At 44.8% G+C, this 23,490-nt stretch overlaps 1 protein-coding gene and 1 long non-coding RNA gene across 25 annotated transcripts in view, besides 1 other annotated feature; one reads left to right on the forward strand and one right to left on the reverse strand.

Annotated features, from left to right (window-relative positions):
* Nucleotides 1–23,490, forward strand: part of DOCK1 (dedicator of cytokinesis 1) — a 547,089-nt gene that overhangs the window by 83,738 nt on the left and 439,861 nt on the right. For 11 of the 24 annotated variants that reach the window (NM_001377544.1, NM_001377543.1, NM_001380.5 and 8 more), the window contains 7 exons: nucleotides 1,290–1,438; nucleotides 7,583–7,718; nucleotides 8,927–9,084; nucleotides 10,189–10,270; nucleotides 11,007–11,142; nucleotides 19,567–19,639; nucleotides 23,130–23,209. In NM_001377544.1, the coding sequence (NP_001364473.1) occupies nucleotides 1,290–1,438; nucleotides 7,583–7,718; nucleotides 8,927–9,084; nucleotides 10,189–10,270; nucleotides 11,007–11,142; nucleotides 19,567–19,639; nucleotides 23,130–23,209 (814 nt within the window). Of the gene's footprint in view, nucleotides 1–1,289; nucleotides 1,439–7,582; nucleotides 7,719–8,926; nucleotides 9,085–10,188; nucleotides 10,271–11,006; nucleotides 11,143–19,566; nucleotides 19,640–23,066; nucleotides 23,210–23,490 lie in introns of all 24 variants that reach the window. The other 13 variants (XR_007061946.1, NM_001290223.2, NM_001377546.1 and 10 more) reach the window with 3 other exon arrangements.
* Nucleotides 10,850–12,049: an enhancer, noted in NCBI's record as "MED14-independent group 3 enhancer chr10:128798279-128799478 (GRCh37/hg19 assembly coordinates)". NCBI's record gives its function as "activates an origin of replication core promoter dependent on BRD2, BRD4, P300/CBP and CDK7 cofactors, and independent of MED14, by STARR-seq in HCT116 cells {active_cell/tissue: HCT116}" and the evidence as "EXISTENCE:reporter gene assay evidence [ECO:0000049][PMID:35650434]".
* On the reverse strand, nucleotides 11,740–18,320 carry LOC107984059 (uncharacterized). The gene is made up of 3 exons (XR_001747639.2): nucleotides 18,246–18,320; nucleotides 12,390–12,444; nucleotides 11,740–11,827 (listed from the first exon to the last, which is right to left on the reverse strand). It is a non-coding gene; the product is annotated as an uncharacterized LOC107984059 (long non-coding RNA).

Here is a 23,490-nt window from a genome sequence, read left to right on the forward strand (position 1 = left end):
GGACAAGAGAAGGCAGCGTGGATATTAGAAACTCCTAGAAAGAAGGTTAAATACCAGAGTGAGCTCAGTACGTGGTTTAGATATGTAGAGGGGGAGTTTTTTAAAAAAGTGGCAGTGAACAAATTTAATGTTTTAAAGGGACCATGACATTTAGATACCTTTTTATTTATTTATTTTTTGAGATAGGGTCTTGCTCTGTTGCCCAGGCTAGATTGCAGTGGCATGATCACAGCTCCCTGCAGTCTTAACCTCCCAGGCTCAAGCAATGCTCCCACCTCAGCCTCCTGAGTAGCTGGGACTACACCTGTGAGCCACCATGCTCAGCTAATTTTTTTAATTTTTGAAGAGATGAGGTCTCCTTATGTTGCCCAGGCTGATCTCCAACTCCTGGACTCAAGCAATCCTCCCGCCTCTGCTTCCCAAAGTGCTAGGATTATAGGCCGGAGCTACCAAGGCCAGCATGCTTAGAGTTTTATCACATTAGGTTCCACCTAAATTTCTTTTCATGGAAAGAACCACTGAGTTATTTTCCTTCAGATAATCCCTAATCTCCTTGATTATTGTACGCTTGTAATTGCAAGCTGCAAACTGTTGCTTTTCTTTGAACCGTCAATCCCATCAAAATTCTTAGAAAGTGGTAAGAAGTGTGAGTTTTGCATCTTATTTGCATTTTCCTCTTGTCACAAAGCACCAAGAGCTTGTAGATTGAGATTTGGCCTCTTGCAGAAGTGTCTCTTGTGGGTTGTACACACCACAGTGTGCAGCAGCCCGCCCAGGGTGGAATGCTTCTTCTTCCCTATAGCTGAGCTGAGAGCGAGGCCGAGGAGTTCAGGTTCTCAGTGTGCTGAGAAGGGTCCAGGGTGCAGGGTGTTCTGAAGACCGTATGTAGGTTGTAGGATTCAGATCTTTAGGCTCAGACTAATTCCGGAGGAGCTTTAGACTTGCCCATCTCTGATCCAGATGCAGGAAGCTCACGAGCAGGTGTTGACGCTCAAGGTCTAGCCCCTGTTGGGATCACCTTTTTGCTTCAGTGGGACACAGGATGTTGGATGAAGTCTTGGGGATTATGCATTACTTTTTGTTCCTTTAATCTTTTAATGTCGCATGGAAACCAAATTCCGTATAATATGTTTTAGTTTATGCTGAAAGCACCTTTTAATTCAACATTAACTAAATCTCATGATCTAGTGCTTATACCTCATGCGTATTTGAAGAGATAGCCATTCTCTACCATCTCCACAATGCTGTTTTATAACAAAATCTTTCTGATTGGGTTTTTCCCCGTATAGCAAGATAACAGGGAGATGTTTCGAAGTGTGCGGCACATGATCTATGACCTTATTGAATGGCGATCACAAATTCTTTCTGGAACTCTGCCTCAGGATGAACTCAAAGAACTGAAGAAGAAGGTCACAGCCAAAATTGATTATGGAAACAGGTTTGTTTATTTGAAAGATGATTTTACGCTTAAATTATCCAATGTAATAACATCACTATAAGTCTTCAGGAGACCAAGATCATATTTTATCATAAAACAAAATTTCTACCATCAAAGTAATGGCATGTTTTTCATTTTGAAAAGGATGAGGTATTTTCCACTGGATTCTGAACTGGGGAATTTTGTGAGCCATTCTTGAAACCTTGTCATTCTTCAAGGGATAGAGTCAAGAAGCCAGGGAGCCTGTCATTTTCACCGTTCTGGAGGGAACCCCATCATTACTCCCCTAGCAAGGAACTTTTACTTTCTGACCATAGTTTTTGACTTTGAGTCCAGATCTGGGGGGCCTTGCATAGTGACAAGCAACAGGTTTCTTTCTGTGGAATCCCAGGTTCTGAGCATTGGAGTGGACATTAGATCACTGGAAAGTTTGTCACCTGTGTAGGCTTGCCAGTTTTCACAAACAGAAATACAGCCCAGTTAAATTTCACTGCAGATAAACAACAAATAGTTGCTTTGTGCAGTTATGTCTCTTGCCAGAGCAAGAGTTCTTCCCATCCATAGCAGGCATCCCCCCAGCTCTGCATGAGTGCCTTTAGTGCTCACCCCTGCCTACAGCTGTACCTTCTATGTTAGCACGTGTTTTTTGATGCTGAAAGCAAACAAGCTGCTCTGATCCTAATTCTGCTGGGTCCTGTAACTAGAATGAGGCCATGCCCTTTTCCACCTGGTAATATTTAGTTTTCATAGAATAGCAGAGCTGCAAGAAGCCTTAAAAAGTATCTGGTCACATGGTTCCCAAATGCTCTTCTATTTCAGAATCACTGGGATAGCTGTTGAATTATAGAATCCCAAGACCTACCCCTTAAGGCTCTGATTTGTGATATCTGGGATGCTGGCTGGAAATCTCCAGTGTTTTTTTTTTGTTTGTTTGTTTTTTTTTGAGATGGAGTTTCGGCCTTGTTGCCCAGACTGTAGTGCAATGGCATGATCTTGGCCCATTGCAATCCCCGTCTCCTGGGTTCAAGTGATTCTCCTGCTTCAGCCTCCCGAATAGCTGGGATTATAGGCATGCACCACCATGCCTGGCTAATTTTGTATTTTTAGTAGAGATGGGGTTTTTCCATGTTGGTCAGGCTGATCTCAAACTCCCTACCTCAGGTGATCCACCCGCCTTGGCATCACAAAGTGCCAGGATTACATGCGAGAGCCACTGCTCCCAGCCGGAAATCTCAAGTTTTAAAAATAGAGTTGGGTTGTGCTGGACAGCAGATTTGGAAAACTTCTGGTTTAATTCAACCCCCTCATTTTACACATTGGAATGTGGAAGTCAGAAAAGGGAAGGGGTTTGCTTCCAGCCATTCAGCAGAAAGGAGTCCGGGTAAATCAAGGAACCTTTCTGTAAAATCAGAATTATCACATAATTTTCTGGTAATTTATATTTTGAAGTGTGAAAAACTTCTTAAAGCAACGTTATGAGCAAGATGTAGGGTTTGGATTAGAAATGCTGTAGGAGAGATTTTTATTTTTTTTTCCAGAAAGCCTGAGATATTAGCTATTGTTGCAGCAAAACCCATTTCAAGACCACCTGCTTAAAAAAGCAGACTTTTGGAGCTTTGATTTGATTTTCTATTGGAGTATCATAATTTAAACTTATGTTCAGAGACCACCTGCTTAATTTGGCTGCAGGAAGCTAGCAAAGTACATTGTATCATGGAAAAATCTAGTTAAGGAAGGAAGTGTTTCCAAATACAGTTTACTACTTTGATAGGAAATACAGTCCTTAATAAGACAGGTTTTTTGCCCAAGGATCTCCAGGCTCTTCCATAATTTCTCCAAAGCCCAGCGCTCTGCATATATCTTCCTAGTTCTTCCTTCAGAAAACCTAAATGATGCAAAATGATACCACAGTGTTGAATGTTTGATTTTAAGGTGGGTGGATTTAATAAGGAAAAGATGTTTTGCGTCTTTTTCATTGATCGCTTAGGCATTCTTGCTTTTTTGATTGATTTTTAACCTGGGTGGAGGGGTTTGAGGAGCTGTTTGAGAATGTGATGAAGGTCTTGGACCATATCTCTAGAAAAATGTACATACACAATACACAAACACAGGCACACAGACCCCCCCAACACAGACACACACACACACACACACACACACAGACAGACACAGACACACACACACAGACACACACACACACACAGTTCTACACATGATTTCAGGTGGGGAGGTCTCCCACCCTGTCCTCATAGATGCATTGGGCTTCCATGGACTTCATCTCTCCATTGCCTTGCTGTGATAAGTTGCACCTTCATAATGGAAACTCACTCTGATTCAGAACCAGCTGAACACTGGTTGCTGAGAACAATGCGTAGAAGGGTTGACTGCACAGGCCACTTCGTTTGATGGTTTGCATGTGGCATTCTGGAAGGAGCATGGCTCTGCCATTGGAGAGTTCTGATACAGAACCCAGGATCTGGTTTTGGAATAAATAACTTCTCCAAGCTTAGGTTTCCTCCTTTGTGCAATGGGTCTGACGGTCTGCCCTGGCAGGTGTGAGGTGATGATGTGGCAGGACGTGCACAGCAGGCTGGCACAGGGCCGTCCTCTCGTGTGTTCCCTGAGGGAACCCAATTCTGCGTGGCCTGTAGGACCTACTGGCTGGGCCTCCTAAGCTGGTTCTTTGTAGCTGCCCTGGCACCAGCACTGACGTGCCCATACCAGAACTGATCATGCCTACACTAGAAGTGACCATGCCCTACCCACAGTAGTACTGACTCTATCCACGCATTACTGACCCCTGCCCATACCAGTATTGACCCCACCCACACCAGCACAAACCATGCCCACACCGTCACTGACCCTGCCTGTACCAGCACGTTCCTAGGGGCCGGTTCAGGGATAGGATAAGGAGTAGTATTTGGGAGGGAGGAGCTTGCTTTGTTAGTGAGACATATTACAAAAATAACTAATGAGACCTTAAAATGCTTTTTACATTTTCTCCAGATGTCTTTCTGTTGGTCTTGAGGCACCCTGCTTACATTGCAGCCACTGCGGCTGTTTTCATGCAGTGCAAAAAGCCTCTATTTGTTTAAAGTCTGTTTACCCTGATGCTGTTGACAGGCCCAGTTGGTCCTCCTGCTTCACTGTCAGTGGAATTTGCTCAATAGATATTAAAAGGAAAAAATCAGTTTTCTGTATTTGTCTTCCCAGTGGTACAGTGCTTGAGCAAAACTCCAAAGACTAAATATGTTTGAGATGCTGGCAGACTCGTATCTGGCTTTAAGGTGTGTGACCTCAAGACTCGAAGTCTCAGGGTAGTTTTTTAGATGGAACATTTATTGGCAATTCAACTTTCCTCTTTAATTTGTAACTATAAAGATGTTCTCTAATTGAAATTTATCATTCTTTCAAATGACTCTGTTTCCTTTTTCATATTGTTAAAAAAGCCTGTTTCCATCGGCTTGTTAATTACAGGAATATAATCCTAACGGGTAAGAGGCACCTATGGTTAATTTTCTGCCCTTAGACCTGCGTGTTTTGTTAACAAGAAAGCCAGAACCTACTGCCAGATCACAACTCTTGATCTCTTTTGTTACACAGTTGTCTGTGTTCTTTAAATAAAAACTGTGGTAAAAATCATCTTACAATTTTGTTGGATTTGAGGAATCAGAGAGAATATTCCCCAAAATATGTACTGTTTATTTATTTATTTATTTATTTATTTTTAGTATTTATTGATCATTCTTGGGTGTTTCTCCGAGAGGGGGATTTGGCAGGGTCATAGGACAATAGTGGAGGGAAGGTCAGCAGATAAACATGTGAACAAAGGTCTCTGGTTTTCCTAGGCAGAGGACCCTGCGGCCTTCCGCAGTGTTTGTGTCCCTGGGTACTTGAGATTAGGGAGTGGTGGTGACTCTTAAGGAGCATGCTGCCTTCAAGCATCTGTTTAACAAAGCACATCTTGCACCGCCCTTAATCCGTTTAACCCTGAGTGGACACAGCACATGTTTCAGAGAGCACGGGGTTGGGGGTAACGTCATAGATTAACAGCATCCCAAGGCAGAAGAATTTTTCTTAATACAGAACAAAATGGAGTCTCCCATGTCTACTTCTTTCTACACAGACACAGTAACAATCTGATCTCTCTTTCTTTTCCCCACATTTCCCCCTTTTCTATTCGACAAAACCGCCATCGTCATCATGGCCCGTTCTCAATGAGCTGTTGCGTACACCTCCCAGACGGGGTGGCCACCAGGCAGAGGGGCTCCTCACTTCCCAGACGGGGCGGCCGGGCAGAGGCGCCCCCCACCTCCCGAACGGGGTGGCTGCCGGGTGGAGGGGCTCCTCACTTCTCAGATGGGGCGGCCCGTCAGAGACGCTCCTCACCTCCCAGACGGGGTGGCGGCGGGGCAGAGACACTCCTCAGTTCCCAGACGGGGTCGTGGCTGGGCAGAGGCGCTCTTCACATCTCAGACGGGGCGGCAGGGCAGAGGCGCTCCCCAGATCCCAGACGATGGGCGGCCGGGCAGAGACGCTCCTCACTTCTAGACGGGATGACGGCCGGGAAGAGGCGCTCCTCACTTCCCAGACTGGGTGGCCGGGCAGACACGCTCCTCACTTCCCAGACGGGGTGGCGGCCGGGCAGAGGCTGCAATCTCGGCACTTTGGGAGGCCAAGGCAGGTGGCTGGGAGGTGGAGGTTGTAGCGAGCCGAGATCATGCCACTGCACTCCAGCCTGGGCAACACTGAGCACTGGGTGAGCAAGACTCTGTCTGCAATCCCAGCACCTCGGGAGGCTGAGGCTGGCAGATCACTCACGGTCAGGAGCTGGAGACCAGCCGGGCCAACCCGGTGAAACCCCGTCTCCATCAAAAAATACGAAAACCAGTCAGGTGTGGCGGCGCGCGCCTGCAATCCCAGGCACTCCGCAGGCTGAGGCAGGAGAATCAGGCAGGGAGGCTGCAGTGAGCCGAGATGGCGGCAGTACAGTCCAGCCTTGGCTCGGCATCAGAGGCAGACCGTGGAGAGAGAGGGAGAGGGAGACCGTGGAGAGGGAGAGGGAGACCGTGGAGAGGGAGAGGGAGAGGGAGAATGTACTGTTATAGACTGGACAGATTTATTAGCCAGATGTTGCTTGTGTTTTTAGTTGGTGACTACATTTAGCCATCTGGCCAGGAAGTTGCTTAACCTTATTGTAGATAACGTCCATATGTTTGGTGTTCACATACAATAGAACATCTGTATTGAAAATCTTCCTGTGGCCTCATGTAAGGACTCGAAGTAGAAGGGGAGACATGCAGGGATCCCTATTGGGGTCAGTGGGGAGTAAAAAGGTGGTGGATAGATCTCTCCTCCAAGTTTTCTTCCCTCTCTCCTTCCTCAACTCTCTGATGATGTCACAACTGCCAGCTATGTGTTTGGGTTGATGGATGTATATGTGATTGCATATATATGTGAATGTGTGTGTGTGTGTACATATGTAGTATGCCTTAGGTGGGGTGCAGTGGCTCACGCCTGTAATCCCAGCACTTTGGGAGGCTGAGGTGGGCAGATCACCTGAGGTCAGGAGTTGAGACCAGCCTGGCTAACATGGCAAAACCTCATCTCTACTAAAAATACAAAAATTAGCCGGGTGTGGTGGCACACACCTGTAACCCCAGCTACTCGGGAGGCTGAGGCAGGAGAATTGCTTGAACCCGGGAGATGGAGGTTGCAGTGAGCCGAGATCGCACCACTGCACTCCAGTATGGGCAACAAGAACGAGACTGTCTCAAAAAAAAAAAAAAAAAAAAAAAAAGTATGCCTTAAAACTTTTCATATTTTACATAATAATTAGTAATACATACTTCACTTGGGCCTTGTAGATCTGTAAAACTTCTCCTTGCAAGACAAAGCCACTGTTGATTGCAATGGAAATAAAAATTGAGGATTTTTTTTTTTTTTTTTTTTTTTACTTCTCCCAAGATGACACATTTTAAGCTAAAGAAAGCAGCCTCCAAGAATTTTATATTCCTAATATTTTGGGCAAGCCCGAGTTTCTAGGTTGTTTTTACCTGCCCAGTTGCTGTGGTGGAAGTTGTGCTAGAAAATTCAGCCTCCTTGGTCTATGTCTGTGAACTTACTAAATTCTTGTTGTTCTAGAATTCTAGATTTGGACCTGGTGGTTAGAGATGAAGATGGGAATATTTTGGATCCAGAATTAACTAGCACGATTAGTCTCTTCAGAGCTCATGAAATAGCTTCTAAACAAGTGGAGGAAAGGTTACAAGAGGAAAAAGTAAGTTTGACTCTGTCATATGCCATTCACGTTTTCTCAGTAATAAGTTTTCAACATTAGTAAAGTATCAGTCAAGCCCAAAATTGTCACTAAGAAAGAACCTGAAAAGGAGTAGCTGCAGAGTTTGTGTCCTACAGTCATGAGTGGAATGGAGCCTGGTGGCACAGGATGTCACCCATGACATGAAAGGGGGTCGGACAGCATTGTGTTTCATCGTAGGAGACAGGATCCTAATGATGTTGATTTTGTGTTCTCATCTGTCAAATGAGACACAAGACTTGATTCTGCATTTCCTCTCGGATAATGGTAGGCAGGTCATGTATTCCAAGCTCATTGAGGGCAGAGAGTACATGTCTTATTGTCTTTTCGTCTTCTATGATCTTTAATGGTATCATGTATGCATTAGCCTGTTCTCGCCTTACTATAAAGAAGTGCCTGAGACTGGGTAATTTATAAAGAAAAGAGGTTTAATTGGTTCATGGTTCTGCAGACTGTATAGGAAGGATAGTGGCTTCTGCTTCTGGGGAGGCCTCAGGAATCTTATAATTATGGTGGAAGGCGAAGTGGGAGCCAACACTTCACATGGCTAGAGCAGGAGGAAGAGAGAGGGTGTGCGGGGGGGTGCTACACGCTACACTTTTAAACGACGAGATCTTGTGAGAGCTCACCATCATGAGGACAGCACTGAGAGGATGGTGCTAAACCATTCATGAAAAATCCACCCCATGATCCAGTCACCTCCCACCAGTATATATATATACACACACACACAGTAGATACTCAGAAATTGACTAATTGAATCATCTGTTAATTCAACAAGTACTTACTGAGCATCTACTGTGTACCAAATGTTGAAGACATAATGATACATGAGACAGATGTCCTTGGAGGGTTTAGTCTAATGAGGGAACAAAAAATTAAATAACTACACATATATAATCATTATTTTGATTTATTGGATGGACACCTGAAAGTTTTGTATCTCTGAAAATACTCAGCACAGCAGTTGCACAGGATACAATTTTTTGTCTGTTGTGTGAATGCATGATTTAAGAATGTGCAGGGGAGATAAGAAAGTGACTGCACCAAGGCCTTTGCTGGGTTATGCCAATGAGTTATTACAATTTTCTATTCTGTAGGGAATAAAGAAAGCAAGTGTCAGTGATGAGTGTTGCTGGGGTTGACTTTCTGTTTCCTTCCATACACAGTCTCAAAAGCAGAACATAGATATTAACAGACAAGCCAAGTTTGCTGCAACCCCTTCTCTGGCCTTGTTTGTGAACCTCAAAAATGTGGTTTGTAAAATAGGAGAAGATGCTGAAGTCCTCATGTCTCTATATGACCCTGTGGAGTCCAAATTCATCAGGTGGGTGACATTTCTTGGCTGCCGTCTTTCCTCTTTGGTTAGTGTTAGGAACTTGGGATCAGAACCACTGAAGCGTCCCATTCATGCTGAGAGGCCTTGGATGAATGGCTGCTGGACACGAGCAAGCAGCCGAGTCAAGAGCTGTCTTAGACAGTGTGATGGCAGCCAGGTTGGGCTCTGGGTCAGGGTGAACCTTCTTGCGTGTAGATTGCTATTTGCTCGTAGAGTTATAGCAGTTGCAGGTACACTCTGGCCGTATCTTAAGAGTGTAGCTGAAGATTGAAGTAATACTTTGTTTCCTAAGTTGTCTTCGTAAGATTTTATATATCCTGGTCCCTCAAATATCACTATTTCCATTTTTCAAAATTTGGTTTCTATGAATGCCATTTCTGTGAGTTTTGTCTTGTTTTTTCTGCAAGATGATTGGCTGGAATACATCATTTAGAATGGTGCCTGCCACATACAGACTGTCAGTTAATATTTGTTAAATGAAAACACTGTAAGTCTATTTTTTCCTGCTTAGCCTTCAGTATAACTTTCTCTTTGCCCAGATGGAAACAATGTGGTTCAACTATGTATGAATTATGTGTGTGTCTGTGTATATGTTAAAACTCTAGTATCTTCACTTGTATTATTCAAAATTTGAAAACTTAGTGTATGAATGATACAGAAAAATACGAGTGGATTTTATTCTCACTTCTGATAAAGACTTTGTTTCCTCTTGACATAGGATGCAGTTTTTATTTTACAATGTATTTGGTTTGTCATAGGTTTTGAAATAAACATGCATTGTGCTGAATTTTATAGTATTGTCATTCTAAATGAACAAATAGGCTCTTAAAAAAAAAACCAACTTAGAAATACCATTTGCAAGTAGTTCTATTACAGTGACAACCCAAGACATTGCACATTAAAACTTGGCAAGGTTTTTGTGCTGTGGATGTTAATTGATGAGTAGCTGTATGTGATACTTTTGATATTTATAAACTCAATAGTTGTCTGTATAGTGCACGTACATGGTATTAATTATGAAGCAATGTGGATGTACATTTGGTACCCTGTTATTTGGAAAATTAACTTGCTTTTATTTCTCCATTTTTCAAGTGAGAACTACCTGGTTCGCTGGTCCAGTTCAGGATTACCTAAAGACATAGACAGATTACATAATTTGCGAGCCGTGTTTACTGTAAGTGCACCCAAAGATGCTTAGTTGAATTGGCTACCATTCTAAGGACTACTTTTAGCCATTTCTGTCTGCCTTCCTGCGACACTAGAACATGGGTCCCTGGGATGCCTGTATACAGGTTAATTTAGTATTACTAAGTAGAGCGCATTTCCAGAAATCATCTGAGTCTCTAGCCACCCTTAGAATCACCGTGACAAAGATTTACCCCATTAACATGGAATGTGCCTCTTAAATGTGTATCGTTTTTATTTTTTTCCTTGAGACGGAGTCTTGCTCTGTCACCCAGGCTGGAATGCAATGGCGTGATCTCGGCTCACTGCAACCTACGCCTCCTGGGTTCAAGCAGTTCTCCTGCCTCAGCTCCCGAGTAGCTGGGATTACAGGCATGCACCACCACACCTTGCTAATTTTTTGTATTTTTAGTAGAGATGGGGTTTCCCCATGTTGGCCAGGCTGCTCTCAAACTCCTGACCTCGTGATCCACCCTCCTCGGCCTTCCAAAGTGCTGGGATTACAGGTGTGAGGCACTGCCCCTAGCCCTTAAATGTGTATCTTAAGCTCACTTAACAGTAATTGACTATTGTTATTAAATTCCTTTTTGTCATATGAATAACTGATTAAAATGATAAAAACTGGTCTGAGAAGAGTCTCAATCCATTTTTTTACTGTCCTTTTCATTGGAGCTTGCATTGAATAATGGGTCTCCAAAATAATTTATGGAAACTAATATTTCTAGGACCTCGGAAGCAAAGACCTGAAAAGGGAGAAAATCAGTTTTGTCTGTCAGATTGTTCGCGTGGGTCGCATGGAGCTGAGGGACAACAACACCAGGAAACTGACCTCGGGGTTGCGGCGACCTTTTGGAGTGGCTGGTAATCTATTTCTCTGTGTTTCCTTGAGAGTTTCAGATCTTCACAGTCACTTTCAAAAGAATCACTGTTGAATGTTGATTGGACAATGCACAGCTGTGATTTATAAGCTTTTCTGCTGGAGAGAAAAAATATATTTATTAGTTATTTTCATTGTGGCTTCAAGTTGACCTGCTAGGCTCAGGATGCTCTAGTCCTCAAGTTTCAGATATAAATCATATATTTGGTTTTAAAGTGGATCCCATCTTTCCCTGGGAGTGATCCTGACCCATATTCTCAGTCTGTAGGGAAGCCAGTCAGTGGAGGTTTTCAGGTCTTGGTGATGGACATAAGAATGGATATGTGCAGGACGGTCAAAGCAACGAAGAAGAGGAAGAAAGGCAAACTGTGAAGAGAACGCGGTTAGCTTCATGTTGGTGCTCTTCATCCGCCATGTTGGTGCTGTTTCTCCGCCATGTTGGTGTTCTTCCTCCGCCATGTTGGTGTTCTTCCTCCGCCATGTTGGTGCTTTTCCTCTGCCATGTTGGTGCTCTTTCTCCGCCATGTTGGTGCTCTTCCTCCGCCATGTTGGTGCTCTTTATCTGCCATGTTGGTGCTCTTCCTCCACCGTGCTGGTGCTCTTCCTCCACCCTGCTGTTGCTCTGTTATTTTTGGTGACAGCACGAGGAATGTGAAAGACCAATTATCTCTGTTGAGGAAAGATAAAGGCATACCCAGGAAGTTCTGATTATTTGCCCTAGTTCACTGTGACTCTCATTTTTCATAGTTTTGGGAAGTGGTTTTCTCTCTTTTATGGTTGCAGTACAATTTCATTACCTAGCACTGTGATATTTATTTTAATTTTTGTGATTTTTGGGATTCATATGGATATTTATGAGGGAAAAGTTCCTGATTCTTGACACATAGCTGGATTTTTTTGTATGAACAGCTATGGAAGACATTCTTTCCCTTGGCTACCAGGAAACTCTGAACTTAGTCCATCCCCCCTGCCTTTTAAATAAACATTATTTTTAGAAGAGTTTTAGGTTCAAGCAAAATTGAACAGAAAATACAGACAGTTCCTATATATTTCTCCTTCCTTCCCCCTGCCTCCCCATTATCAGTATCCACCATAGATTGGTACATTGATTACAGTTGGTGAACCGCATTGACACATCGTCGCCCTGTGAAGTCTGTAGTTTACATTAGCGTTCATTCTTGATGTTGTGCCTTCTGTGGGTTTCGACAAATGAATAATACCGTATATTCACCATTGTAGTCTCTCACTGGGTAGCTTCACCATCCTAAAAGTCCTCTGTGCTCCGCCTGGAATTTTTGGAAAAATATTTCAAATCATTTAAATAAATGACTTACTACATCATAAGGAGTAAGCAATAGCAGCGATATAGACATTATGAGAGCAGCATATTAATTCAATTTACTTGAATTCAATTTACCCATAGAGCTAACTAACGGAGTGTTCCAATGATTTTACCATTTGTGAGTGAAAATGGTGAGGGTGAGGTGTTCTTTCTGAAGTCCCCACAGCCTTGGGCTGGGGAAATCCTTTTGCATTTTCATCTTTCTGTCTTTTTGTTTTTATGAGACAGAGTCTAACTCTGTCACCCAGGCTGTGTGATGACAGCTCACTGCTGCCCCGACCTCCTGGGCTCAAGTGATCCTCCTGCCTCAGCCTCCTGAGTAACTGGGACCACAGGCACATGCCGTGCTAACATTTTCATGTCATGACTTGAATACATACTTGAAAATTGCCCCTCTATTTGTCAGAGCCTGTAGCATCTTTTACATGTAATCTAGTGTTATATTTAAAATGCCTTTCATTTTCCAGGATTGTTTTTTTTCTTTTCCACCTTGATGGTAGTTTTAAGAAAATATTTAATTTTTGTCTCAGGCATAATTGGCTTCATTTGAGCAATCAGAGACATCTTTGACAACACACGGAAGTCGCTCCTCTTTTCAACAGCAGAGCTACACATTCTCTGGTTATTAGATTACAAGATGGATTGTGTCATAAGTTCCTACGAATGCGTAGTTATATTTCTTAAAGATGAAATGTAGACCACAGGCTGACAGTTTTTACCTTCTTTTGATTAAAATTTTTGGAATTTAAAAATTTGGAATATTTTTCAGTTTTCATTGGGTTGATATTCCAGGAAAGTCTAGGTACTAATGGATGGAGAGGGTGATGGGCATGGGCTCAGCTGACACCACTGTGGCCTTCCACTGTTTCTTACATGCTCACTTATGCTTGCTTGGTGGGGTCTAGAGTTAGGTTGGGCCCCCCAGCTCCTGGAGTTCTCCATGAATTACAGAAGCCTGGGTTATTCACTGGGGCAGGGCGGGCAGCCTGGACATAGTTCCTTGTTTCTGGAGCCCCTACCTGTGTAGTGTTGGCTGAGACACTACATCTGGTCCCTGGAGTTTGGATGCCTGGCTGTGTGGCCTCCAGGGACTTCTGTCCCCTGATATCTGCTGATCACATGGACACCCCCTTTGGTCCCTGGTTCCTCCTGTCTGGACTGGTCTCTGGTTCCTTCCCTTCCTGTCTTGTGTCTCTGGTACCCACTGATATCGGGGCTTCTGAAAACCCACCTGGGGCCAAGTTCTAGCCTTGTCGTCTTGCTCGTGAATTTTCCAGAGTGTGGCTTCTCCTCACTGCTCTGCTCTGACTGGCACATGGGGTGTCCCCCCTCACTTAGGGGTTGCAAAGAACCTGTGTGAACCTGCATGAACCTGTGTGAACCTCTATAAACCTGTGTGAACCTGCGTGAACCTTTATGAACCTGTGTGAACCTGTGTGAACCCACGTGAACCTTTATGAACCTCTGAACCTGCATGAACCTGTGTGAAACTGCGTGAACCTGTGTGAACCTCTAAGAACATGTGTGAACCTGCATGAACCTGCGTGAACCTGTGTGAACCTTTATGAACCTGTGTGAACCCACGTGAACCTTTTTGAACCTGTATGAACCTGCGTGAACCTGTGTGAACCTGCGTGAACCTGTGTAACCTTTATGAACCTGTGTGAACCTGTGTGAACCTGCATGAACCTGCGTGAACCTGTGTGAACCTGTGTGAAGTGCTTCAGAGATACCCATAGGCATTTGTTTTCCTCTGTGGGAAGATTTCAGGCCTGCAGCTGTTAATGTTGGGTTGCCGGGTCCTTTGAGTTCTCTGTCCCTTCTGGTGTCACAGTTGCCTAGCAGTTGCTGGTTTGCCTGGCTCCACTACATGCCCTGGGTGGGGATGTCCTGTTCATCCCTTGGTGCCAAGCACTGAGCACTGAGCCTTTGTGGCCTCTGTGCTCACTCCAGAGGGGCCAGCCTTCCTAGCCCTGCTCAGCTGGTGTGTGTCTGTACATTATAAGTAAGAAACTGGCTGGGCGCTGCCTGTAATCCCAGCACTGTGGGAAGTTGAGGTGGGCAGATCACATGAGTTTGGGTGTTCGAGACCAGCCTGGCCAACATGGTAAAACCTCCTATCTACGAAAAATAAAAAAATTAGCCAGGCATGGTGGTGCATGCCTGTAGTCCCAGCTATTTAGGAGGCTGAGGGAGAAGAGTTGCTTGAACCTGGGAGGCGGAGGTTGCAGTGAGCTAAGATTGTGTCACTGCGCTCCAGCTTGGGGAACAGGGAGAGACTCTGTCTCCCCTCCCCCCCAAAAAAAAGGCCAGGTACAGTGGCTCACACCTCTAATCCCAGAACTTTAGGAGGCCGAGGCAGGCAGATAATGAGGTCAGGAGTTCGAGACCAGCGTGGCCAGTGTGGTGAAACCCTGTCTCTACTAAAGATACAAAAAATTAGTTGGGCGTGGTGCTGTGTGCCTGTAATCCCAGCTACTCAGGAGTCTGAGGCAGGAGAATTGCTTGAACTGGGGAGGTGGAGGTTGCAGTGAGCCAAGATCACGCCAGAGTGATGGGGCGAGACTCCATCTCAAAAAAAAAAAGAAAAGAAAACAAAACAAAACAAAACAAAAGTAAGGACCTGATCGTTCTGCTTGTGGAGTTTCCAGTTTCCTACTAGAAACTCTTCTCTGAGACATTTCATTATGTGATCTGGCTATGTAAATTTTTGGCACAAAAAGTAAATATCTTAATGCAGTGGTTCTCAATCCTAACTGAATATGAGAAAAATCTTGCGAGCTATCAATAAAAATTCTTGGTCAGGTGCTGTGGTTCATGCCTGTAATCCTAGCACTTTGGGAGGCTGAGGAAGGCAGATCGCTTGAGCCCAGGCATTCAAGACCAGCCTGACAACATGGCAAAACCTCGTCTCTACTAAAAAATACAAAAGTTAGCTGGGCGCTTGGTGGCTTGCACCTGTGGTCCCAGCTACTCAAGAGGCTGAGGTGGGGGGATCACCTGAGCCTAGGGAGGTTGAGACTGCAAATGAGCCATGATCGTGCCATTGTACTCCAGCCTGGGCTACAGAGTCATCCTGTCCCCCCCAACGGCCCCCTGCCCCGCCACCCCCCCGCCCCAAAAAAAAGAAAAAAGTCTTGCACAAGCCCCACTCCTGTCCAGGTAAACCAGAATCTCTACTTTAACCAAAATCGCTTGTTTGTCACTATGGGCCACTCAGTGACTGGCAGTTTGCTGCCACCAGACTACCTTGCCCTCCCTGCTCTGCCCCGCTTATCACATGGTGGCATTCAGCACATCTGGGGAATTTTTTTTAATAGGACTTGCTTCTAACTTATTCAGTGTGTTGTCCAACCAGATGTTCTCTTTGTTACTAAGAAAGGATACTTGGTCGGGTGCAGTGGCTCACACCTGTAATCCCAGCACTTTGGGAGGCCAAAGTGGGTGGATTGCTTGAGTCCAGCAGTTCGAGACCAGCCTGGGCAATATGGTGAAACCCCATCCCTACCCAAAAAAACTAAAAAACAAAAATTAGCCGGTCGTGGTGGCGCATGCTTGGGGTGGCCAAGGCAGGAGGGATTGCCTGAGCTTGGGAGGTTGAGGTTGCTGTGAACCGTGATTGTACCACTGCACTTCAGCCTAGGCAACAGAGTGAGACACTCAAAAAGAAAAAAAAAAGGGATAGAAGGGATGCTTCCCACATCTGAGAAGGTTGATCAACATTTTGGTAATCGTATTCTATCTGTTCATAGGCTACTTCAATTTCCACATGCAAATTTAATTTTGAGGCTTTCTTTAGAATGACTTCTGCGTGTCTGTGTTAACAGAGTTCAGTTCCTTAAAATGAGAAAGTGTCCATGGACCTTTAAGTCTACAGTTCTTAGTCTTCGGTTGAAAAGAATGTGTCACATTTCTGTCTTTTAACCTTTTTATAATGTAACCTTTTCTATCTTTTTCTAAAAGATAGAAAATTGTAAAAATAATGGAAATTTTATGGAAAAGTGTAGTTAAATAAATTATCCATAGTTTTACATAGCCAGGGTAGTACCTCATGTTTATTCTGATATGTTTGTTTCCAAATTATTTTTTCTGTGTGTGGCATATGATTTTTAAATACAATATCCCGTCCTACCATGTATTTGTTTATTTAACTGATTGATTTTTTAATGTCTTTTTAGTCCCTTTTTTGCCATCTTAACCATTTTTAGGCGTGCAGTTCAGTAGTAAGTATGTTTGCATTGCACATACTTTTATCTTTCTAACAAACCTAGCATTATCTTATGAACATGTCCTTTTATTAAGCATTATTCAAAAATTCGGCTTCTCAATGGCTGCAGCCTGTAGTCCTGTGATTCCAGCAGTCCTTTGCTTTGGGCTCTGAGGTTATCTCAGCCTTGCGGTGTAGTAGCTACGCAGTGAGCATCCTGGGGCTTGAAGCATCCCACCTGTGCCTGTTTGCAGGCCAGCCCCTGCAGCGGAGTTGCTGACTCGCAGGGTGTGGGGGTCCATCTGCCGTGAGCAAGTCATCCTGATGCAGCCCCACCAGTGGGACTGAGCCATCAGCCCCTCTCCCTGCGAGACGTTTCTCACCTCCTGCCTTCTGCTCTCCTGCCTGTGCTGGCCCTGGGCCTCTGTCACTCTTGTCCCAACGCCACTGCCTCCTTCCTTCTCCTGCCCTCTGTCTTCCAGCATCACGCGGTGCCGTCTGTCTACCCGGCCTCTCCCTCACACAGCTGTACTGACTTCAGCTGGACTCTGTCTTTTCACCATCCTCTTCCCTGAATGTAGAGACCCTGGGCTGGCTGGCTGGGGGAATTTTTCCCCCAAGTCCTTTATTTCCTCCTTTGGTGTCAGGGACATCTTGTCCAAACTGCAGGGAGCACTCCCTCTGCGTGGGGCTGTGTGCGGAAGAGCAGTCAGGGGAGTCCCTGGGAAGCGCGATGAGCGGTGATGACTGGTGACGTCAAGGCCTTCTCCTCGAGGCTCAGGATGGGTGCGGGACTCGGGGTGTTTTCCACCTGTGGGTGCTCAGGCTCTGATTGCGTTTCCCGCTTGTTTGCTGCCTTCCTGCACATGGTCCTGTGTTCCAGGGCTGGGCACTGGGGATGTGGCAAGGGAGTCCCATGGTCAGCTGGTGAGATGAGTCCCATGGCAGAGCAGAGCTCTGCAGGCACCCAGCAAGGCCACCCAGGACCAGCTGGCATGTGAGGGTGGGCCTGCTCGGGTCAGACTCCCTTGGTTCTGGCTCATCGTGGGCTGCTGCCTAAATGAGTTTATTGAAGGATGCTGAACTGGTGGTCTCGGGCATCTTGGAAAAAGGTAAAAAGGTGGGTGCTGCAGTCAGTCGCGTGTGGGTCAGTCACCCCCAAGAGTGCTGGAAGCTGGGAAACGCTTCCCCCAGGCCAGGTGAGGGCCCGTGTCCAGACCATGCATCCTCTGAGCAGCTGTCATTTGATGTTGCAAGTTATTTGGGATTCTTTGACCTGTATCTGCAAACACAGCCGTGGGCTCCTGGCTCTTTGAGGCCCCTTGGTTGAGTGGAGTGAGTGTGGGTGTCGTCTCTTACGACACTGCTGAGGCCCCTGGGGCCCCACCAGACCAAACAGGGGATGAGGATGCTGCTTTTTTGGTTCTATGTATCCCTCCTCCTTTTTGGAGGGTGGTGATGGTGATGGTAGAAAGGAAAATTTTCAATATATGATTACTTACATGTTGGACAAAATATATTTAGACTGATCCTCTTACCTGAACGCAGAGCTGGGCTACAGAGAGACCCTTCTGGGGAAAGGTCTTGTGCGAAGAAAATAAACAAGGCATCTTCCTCTCAAGTCCAGTGTGGCGGTGGAGCAGTAGCAGACACAGGGAAAGTGACCCGGGCCATCTGGGGTTATTCTTGGACTTTCTTGTTCTGTCATGACCAAGGGCAAAAGGAATTGTTTGAAAGGTAGACAGTGTGTCTGGGTTTACCCCTGAATGTCATCAGGGAATGTCTTTTAACACAAGAAGATGGCAAAGGATATTAGCCTTTCTTGTGATGTTAGCAAGCCTGGATCTCCCGGGGGGTGTGTTTGTGAAGGCAGTTTAATAGGATTGAAAGAGCTTGGGTCTTGGAGACTTTCTCGCTGTAGACTTTGAGCATGCTTGTTCATGCCTGTCTTTGAGCCTCAGTTTCTTGTCAGTATGGTAGGTTACTGAGGATTTGCCTTGAAGTGTCCTCTTGAAAGAGCGTCCACAGATACCAGCATGTGGTGGGTGCTTGGTAAATGGTAGCTACTTGTTGGCTTAATTGTTTGCGGGAAAGCAAAAGTGTGAGGCTTCAGAACAGTGCTGGCCAGCGTGGTAACCACTTGTCACATGTGACTAGTTAAATTTAAATTAAATGAATGAAATAAAAGTAAATTTTCAGTTCCTCCATCACGCTTTCTACATTTTCTTTTTTTCTTTTGTTTTGTGGCAGGGTCTCACTCTGTCACTCAGGCTGGAGGGCAGTGGTGTGAATTCTGTTCACTGCAACCTCCACCTCCTGGGCCCAAGCAAGTCTCCCATCTCAGCTTCCTGAGTAGCTGGGACTACAGGTGCACACCACCACGCCTGGATAATTTTTGTATTTCTTGTAGAGATGGGGTTTTGTCATGTTACCCAGGCTAGTCTCGAACTCCTGGGCTCAAGCACTGTGCCTGCCTTGGTCTCCCAAAGTGCTGGGATTACAGGTGTGAGCCACTGCGCCTGGCCTATGCTTTCACATTTTCGTTGCTTGTTGTTAATGGAACATTTTCCATCATTACAGAAAGTTCTATTGGACAGGGCAGCTCTAGGGTGACAGTTGGGTAATAGGCAAAGGAAATTATTAAATGGAACTCTGCCATTTGAGCCCCAATTCCATTTGGGCCAGCATTTTCTGATAACTTAATTTGTCTTTCAAGCATGGAAATAATTTAGACTTGACTATGAGAAAACAGCTTTTGCTGTTGTTTGCCAGAAGATATTCTGATGTTCCTTTGTTTGTTTGTGTTCTGTGATTATAGCATTTAAGCCAAAACAATCTCTGTTCTCTTTTTGTCTCCAGTGATGGATGTAACAGATATAATAAATGGAAAAGTAGATGATGAAGATAAGCAGCATTTCATTCCCTTTCAGCCGTAAGTATGGAGCAATTCAAGTACTTAGCCAGATATAATGTGGAAAACATAGGCTTGTAATAATTATCTTTATAATTAAATGGATAAACATAACTAAGGATTGATTATTTTGTAATTATGAAAAACCTCTTTAGTCACTGCTGTAGTACATGGAATTTTTTGTAGCCATAAGAATCCTGGGTCAAAGTTTGTTTATGGTCCTGGAAGTAGGAGATTTTACTTGTAATCACTGAATTGCCTTATATAGAAGGCACAGAGTTACAGCTCTGCTCTGAGCCTGAATGTTTCTTTACATAATTGATTTATTCTAGTAGCTATTTGTATTTTCAAAGCACAATACTTCCAAATTCATCATAGGAGGTTGCTGTTTTTAAAATAAAAAAACAAACAATTATGATGAATTATTTTAAAGCGAGAAATAATGCTTTAAAGCATATAATCACACTGCTGATTTTTGTGTCTCGGTTTTTGCTTAGAGTGGAGCCTATCTGTGTTCGTTTTTAGGCTTTCTCTAGTTCTGACCTGAAGTCTTTAAAGAGGCACGGAAGCTGAGAAAAAGCTCTTGGAGGAGATTCATTAAATTGATTATCTGATTTGTGGGTAGAACCCAGGGAACTGGTGGGAAGAACTGGCGTTTATTTCCCTCGTGTGGAAGCAAGAGTGTACCCAGATGATGGTCGTTGGCCACTTAAGCACTCCTACTCCTCACAGAGGAGGAGAGAAAAAGGAATCCAGATGGTTGAGGTTAATTGTAAGAGACAGCTTCCTCCTGGGCGTGGGGTTGGGTGGCGATGTTAGGGGAGAAGGCATGGTAAGGGCAGTGGAAGCCACCTGCCATAGTGCTCTGCAGTTTCACTTTTCCCTCATTTTTATTCTTAATCGACTTCAGACTTGAAACACATTTCAGATTTTAGAAATTTTACGGTTTTCAGCTGTTGGCTGAAGGGTTTAGGAGGCGGGTAGTAATTGGGTGGCTGAAGGAGCCCTGTCCTTGGGGGCCCGGAGATGTGAGGTTGACTTCCCTCTGCCCCACGCATCCTTGGTGATGGACCACCGCGCTCAACCCCACCCGACTCCTCTGGGTCTTGAGTGCCACTGGCTAAGACAGGAAGAGTATGGCTTTCTTTGCAGGCGGGCGATGTGGTCACATAGCACCCTAAAGCTTTTTGTACAGCTCAGTAGGAGATTTTGCTATCTTCTTGACGTAAGAATAACAGCAAACCCTGCGTTATTGAGCTGGGAGTCAGGGTTAAGTTATATGTATCTCAGCATGCACAACTAGAGGCAAAGGTCTCTTTGTGGCTTAAATGCTTTAGGTTTACTCTCCTGTCCAATATGGTAACCATTAGCTCCATGTGGCTATTTAAAATACTTAAAATGAGCTGGGCGCAGTGGCTCATGCCTGTAATCCCAGCACTTTGGGAGGCCGAGGCAGGAGGATCACCTGAGGTCAGGAGTTCGAGACCAGCCTGGCCAACATGGTGAAACCCCATAACTACTAAAAATACAAAAATTAGCCGGGTGTGGCGGCAGGTGCCTGTAATCCCAGCTACTTGGGAGGCTGAGGCAGGAGAATCGCTTGAACCCGGGAGGCAGAGGTTGCAATGAGCCAAGATCACGCCACTGCACTCCAGCCTGGGCGACAGAGGGAGATTCTGTCTCAATGATAATAGTAATTAGAATGAAGTAGCATTAAACATTTAGTTCTTCAGTCACATTGGTCCTGTTTCAAGTGTTCAGCAGCAGGGGAGGTCAGTGGCCCCGTCCTGGGCAGCACATACATAGCACATCTCCAGCACTGCAGAAAGCTCTGCTGGATTATGTTGTTTTGTAGTCCCATCCAGTGAGGAGAGTTTATAAAGGGAACACAGTGCTGCAGAATCTGGAAGTTTCCTTAGCAAACAAGGGGAACAGTATCATGGAACATGGGCAGATATTGAGGTCATAAATAAAATACACCTTTGTAAAATTATAATATTAAATTGCCTCATTCTCTCATGAGAAATAATGCAGCCCCCTGCTGTTTTGAATGCTGTATTATATATTAGACCTCAGAGGTTCTTGATGCCCAGATGTAACACTAAGTTGAAATTACCTGTTGCCTGCTAGTGTCCTCTGTGAAAAGTCAAAAACAAAAACAAAAACAAAAACAAACCCAACCTGAGGGATTGTTTGAAAGGTTAGGGAGGTTATTAGTTTTAGATTCACTGATTTTCACAGAACATGTTATGAGTTGTTTGAGATTGCCTGTGCTTTGACGCCATCTTTTTCTATCTTGTAGTGGAATGTCCACTTGAAAAATATGTTATTCCATGTGTAACTCTTATGTAATTTGTGACTCCATGCTCCATTAAAGGAAGACTAATAGACAGATGAATATTTGAAGTGTTGGAAACAAAAGAACAGCATGATTTTTAATAGCAAAATAAGCAGTGAAACCAGTTCTTTGGGAAATGTCGTGCTAATGAAACCATTTTTTGCTCCATTAAAACTGATTTATTATCTCACAGGGTTGGTTTTAGAGAAGGAAGCACATTGCACATCTCCCTCCCTCCCTGTCTTTTTTAACTTGGTGACGTAAATGACAACAGTCTTCAGTTCCCTCGAGTCATGTGGCTCAAGTGATGGATAGCACTGTCCTTGTTCCCAGGATTGATTTTAAACATTATGGCCATGCTGTCTATTTTCTTGCTCATTTCATAGTGCACTTCGCTGTGCTACATGGTATTTCTATTTGGGCATATGCCCCCCGTTTGTAGCCAGTCTCTCGTACAGCGCAGCATCTGTCACAGGCTCCTGGTTCATGGGCCCTGAAAACGTGGGTGGTCTGTGTTCATAACAGCGCCACACGTGGGACTAGGCAGTGGTGTTCTCCACACACGGTACCATTCTTCTCACATGTAGTCACTTGAGGGACTATTGTGTACGTAGTCCAGGAGGGTAGAGTAGAAAGCCTTTGCAAGCAGTTAGGTTCCAGGGATTTTTTTTTTTTTAAATCTTGATTTTGCTTTTCCCTTTAGATCAACCTGCCCCTTGACCTATGCTATGTTCAGAATTAATTGAAATTGGAGGAATGGCCATAAACATTCTTTGGGATTAAATGCCTTTCAACCATGTGGCTTTCAGACAAGCTCCTTTTTTTAAACACAAGAGTCTGATGGAGATGCAGTGGAGGCCTGGTGCACGTTTATTCCTGGGGAGAGGGTTGCCCTCATTTGCTCTGTTCCCTCTCGTGGTTCAGCATTTTCCTGATCAATGCTTTTCCCTGTTTCTCTTGTCACCTCTCCCATCCTTTGTCGTGCGTTGACTCATGATGCCTCCCTCTCGCACTCGGTGACGATGATCTCTTATGTTCCCTTGTTACCGTGGCCCATGGGTCTCTGTGCCCCTTTGTCTCCTGTGGTCTTGGTCGTCCCGTGCCCTCCAGGCTCGCGTTGGACGACGCCATTCGACACAAGCCGCTGAACATGTCATCCCGTTTTTCACCCAGGGTGGCAGGGGAGAATGACTTCCTTCAGACTGTTATAAACAAAGTCATCGCTGCCAAAGAAGTCAACCACAAGGGGCAGGGTACGTATTTTCCTATTTTGTTTCTATCAGCGTGTATTTGCATGCGTTGGGGCAGTGCTGTCTGGGTTGGTTTTAGTTTGATGTTGATCATGATGGTGGTGATAATGATGGGGATGACAGTGATCGTGGTGGAGAATGTGTGTGACAGTTGCCCCTGTGTACAGTGCATGATGGTTTTCTTGCCCGTCACCTTTGTGAACATTGCTGAGAGCCCACTCCTGGATGGAGAGTGGGGTCAGATTAGAAGTTTAGAGGAACATGCAGGCGGTAGGCGTAACTCC

The sequence above is a fragment of the Homo sapiens genome, chromosome 10 (assembly GCF_000001405.40).
Source record: "Homo sapiens chromosome 10, GRCh38.p14 Primary Assembly".
NCBI lineage: Eukaryota > Metazoa > Chordata > Mammalia > Primates > Hominidae > Homo > Homo sapiens.